We start from the raw sequence: 3,355 nt of genomic DNA, 5'->3' as shown, positions 1-3,355 counted from the left end.
AAGAAGATGTTATTAAGTAAGGCACAAAATGCACACACCATAAAAGAAAAGCCTGATACATTTGAGGACATAACTGTGAAAAATATAACTTCTACAGGACAATAAATGAGCCATTAACTAAGTTAAAAATAACTGTGGGGCTGGGCGCGGTGGCTCACGCTTGTAATCCCAACACTTTGGGAGGCCGAGGCTGGCGGATCATGAGGTCAGGAGATCGAGACCATCCTGGCTAACATGGTGAAACCCCATCTCTACTAAAAATACAAAAAATTAGCTGGGCGTGGTGGCAGGTGCCTGTAGTCCCAGCTACTCAGGAGGCTGAGGCAGGAGAATGGCATGAACCCTGGAGGTGGAGCTTGCAGTGAGCCGATATCGCGCCACTGCACTCCAGCCTGGGCAACAGAGCAAGACTCCGTCTCAAAAAAACAAAAACAAAAACAAAAACAAACAAGCAAACAAACAAAAACAAAAAAACACCGTGGAAGAAGCATCTACAATGTACATAACAAAGGGTTACTATCAAGCATATAAAAAGAACTGCATGTCCATAGGGAAATCAGCAAAGAGTATGAAAGAGCAGTTTACAGAAGATGCCATTGAATGGTCTGTAATAGTAAAAAGATGTTCAACCTGACTGCACTAGTAATCAGGGAAGTGCAAATGATAAGGAAGTACCTGCCATTTTTGCCCGTTGGTTTTGGCTAGGGTGGGGGGACATGGGAACTCTTGCCACTTGGTACAGGCTTTTTTGGAGGGAACGTTGCCAGAATCTACTTTTAAAATGCCTGTACCTTTTGAACCCAGTAAATGCCACTTCTGGGGATCTGTGGGTGAGACTGCTCATTGTCTCTCTGGCCCAAGGGCTATTATTCATGGGTGCTAGGCTGCTCAGTGAGACGAGATTGCCCAGCATCCCTTGGGGTGAGTGTGGTGCCCACTCCCCACTCAAGCTCCTCCTCAAGTGGAGCTGCTATAGCAGGGTCCCTGAACCACTGTGCACCCATAAATTGTTTGTTAGTGGTGGGTCCATGACCAGCATTAACTTTTAAACAAATCTATAAATTTGTAAAGGAGAAAGGAGACTTTACTTCTTTTTAAGGGTTACAGCTTGCAAGGTGGTCGTCCTGCAGGCTGGGAAGCGTGCCTCTGGCCAAGACAAGAGACAGGCACTTTGAAGGAGGAGGGGTTGGGCTAGGATCTTGGTGCTGGACAGGTTAGCTAAACATACATATTCAACAGGTTACAGGAAGAGCTATGAATATTCATAAAGGGGGGTCCTGACACATGTGTACTGAACAAACATGCATGTAACATATGACCCATGTTCACTTTGGGGTGGAGACTTAACATTTAAATGTATTACAGTTAGGTCCTATACATCCAAAGGTCTTTTCAGGACATGAAGTCACTCAAGCATGAAATCTCTGTAAACTGGCAAGAACAAGCATGTGGCTGCTGGTCTTATCAGGAGAAAGTTACTGAAATCAATCTCTTGTCCAATCAAAGCTGTAGTTATGCCTGGTGGAACAGGGGTTCAGTTAGTCCATGTCTGAAGCTGGCTGAGCTGCAATTGTTTATAATCTTGCTTATTTCAAGGCCAGTGCTTGTTTAGCTGCTAGAGAAAAAGAAAAACTTGTGGCAGTGAGAGCACAGTTCATTCTGTAAGTATAGGGGTGTGGGACTTAACCTTTGCGTGGCATGGCCTTAGGTCCTGTTTATAATTTCGCATCTAATTGTCATCAAGAGTGTGTTCTGTCAGTCTTATGATCTCTATTTTAACACCAATGCAGGTTAGTTGTTGTGTTTAATCTCCAAAAGGGAGGCATGTCTGACCTGCTGTCTCATCATGGCTGTGAACTCATTTTTAAGGTTTTCTAATGTCCCCCTGGCCAAGAGGGGGTCCGTTCAGTCAGCTGGGGGCTTAGGATTTTATTTTTAGTTTACATTGGGTTAGTACAGATATTAAGGCTTTTATAGTAACAGAATATCACCATGGCATCTTTATTGCAAGTTAAAAAATATTTCACTCCACAATTGAATGAAATAAACTGGCTTTTCACCATAGACCGTTTGAGAAGTGCTGTCCTAAAGAAGAGAGGAAAAAGGCAATGTGAGGAGCTGGGGTCTGTGAGTGACTGTGTGGAGCACAGCTGCCCCATCAACCAGGACTACATGGCTCAGACTTCCATGAGAAATGATCCTCAATTTTCTCTAAGCTACTGCTTTATTGCAGGTCTCTTTGTTGAAGCAATGTAGTGTCACTCTACCTAACTCAGCATCTGTTGTACAGCTCACACCTGTGCACAAGAGATCTGAGCAAGGCTCTTGCAGCATTGTTTCTATTAGCAAAACCCTGGAAAATACCTGAATATTCACCAAGAAGGGGAAGGGTCAAATAAACCTCACTATGCTCATGCTATGAAATACTGACCTGTAGTTAACAACACTCTCCCAACATTCTCCCACGCTTAGTTATGTGAAGAAAGTAAGTTGCATGATAAACAGCTGGCATGATAAACTGTCTATTGTGTGTGTACATATATGCAGGTAAATATGCAGAAAAATGTCAGGACAGATGTTCTCAGAAAGGGGGGTGTGATTGGGAGGGGCCAGACAGTGACTAAACGGGGTTTTTATTTTATTCGTATTTGTTTAATATTTTAAAATGAGATTATATTCATGTTTTGTTTGTGTAATTAAAAATGAATATAAAATAGACAATAGTCTTTTTTTTTTCTGAGACATAGTCTCATTCTGCCACTCAGGATGGAGTGCAGTGGTGCAGTCATAGCTCACTGCAACCTCTGCCTCTCAGGCTCAAGTGATCCTCCTACCTCAGCCTCCTGAGTAGCTGGGACTATGGGTGCATGCCATCGTGCCCAGCTATTTTTTTTTTTTGTATTTTTGGTAGAGATGGGGTTTTGTCATGTTGCCCAGGCTGGTCTCAAACTCCTGAGCTCAAGTGATCTGCCCACCTCAGCCTCTCAAAGTGTTAGCATTACAGGAGTGAGCCACTGTGCCCCGCCTGTTCATACATTTTTAATAATAACACAGAACAGGATAAAAAATCTCACTCGATGATTTGGCACACCAGCGTTTGCAGCACTGAATGAAGGAACTTTAAGAATGGAATTTAGTTTTTACTTGTTTGACTCCATTTAAGTCATAAGTGTCTTCAGAAAGAGCACCATGGGGAATTCTCATCTTGCAAGAAAAAAAAGAATCTCCAGAAGGAAAAACTCCAAAGCTGTGTACAATTGTGTCTTTGATAAATTGTCTCTAATCCCCAAAAATAAAGAATATAAAAATTTAAAGAAAAAAATAAAGCATTGGAGAAAAATGTGGTTCTCAAACA

The sequence above is a fragment of the Homo sapiens genome, chromosome X (assembly GCF_000001405.40).
Source record: "Homo sapiens chromosome X, GRCh38.p14 Primary Assembly".
Classification (NCBI taxonomy): Eukaryota; Metazoa; Chordata; class Mammalia; order Primates; family Hominidae; genus Homo; species Homo sapiens.
Note: the sequence above shows the minus strand (reverse complement) of the source record.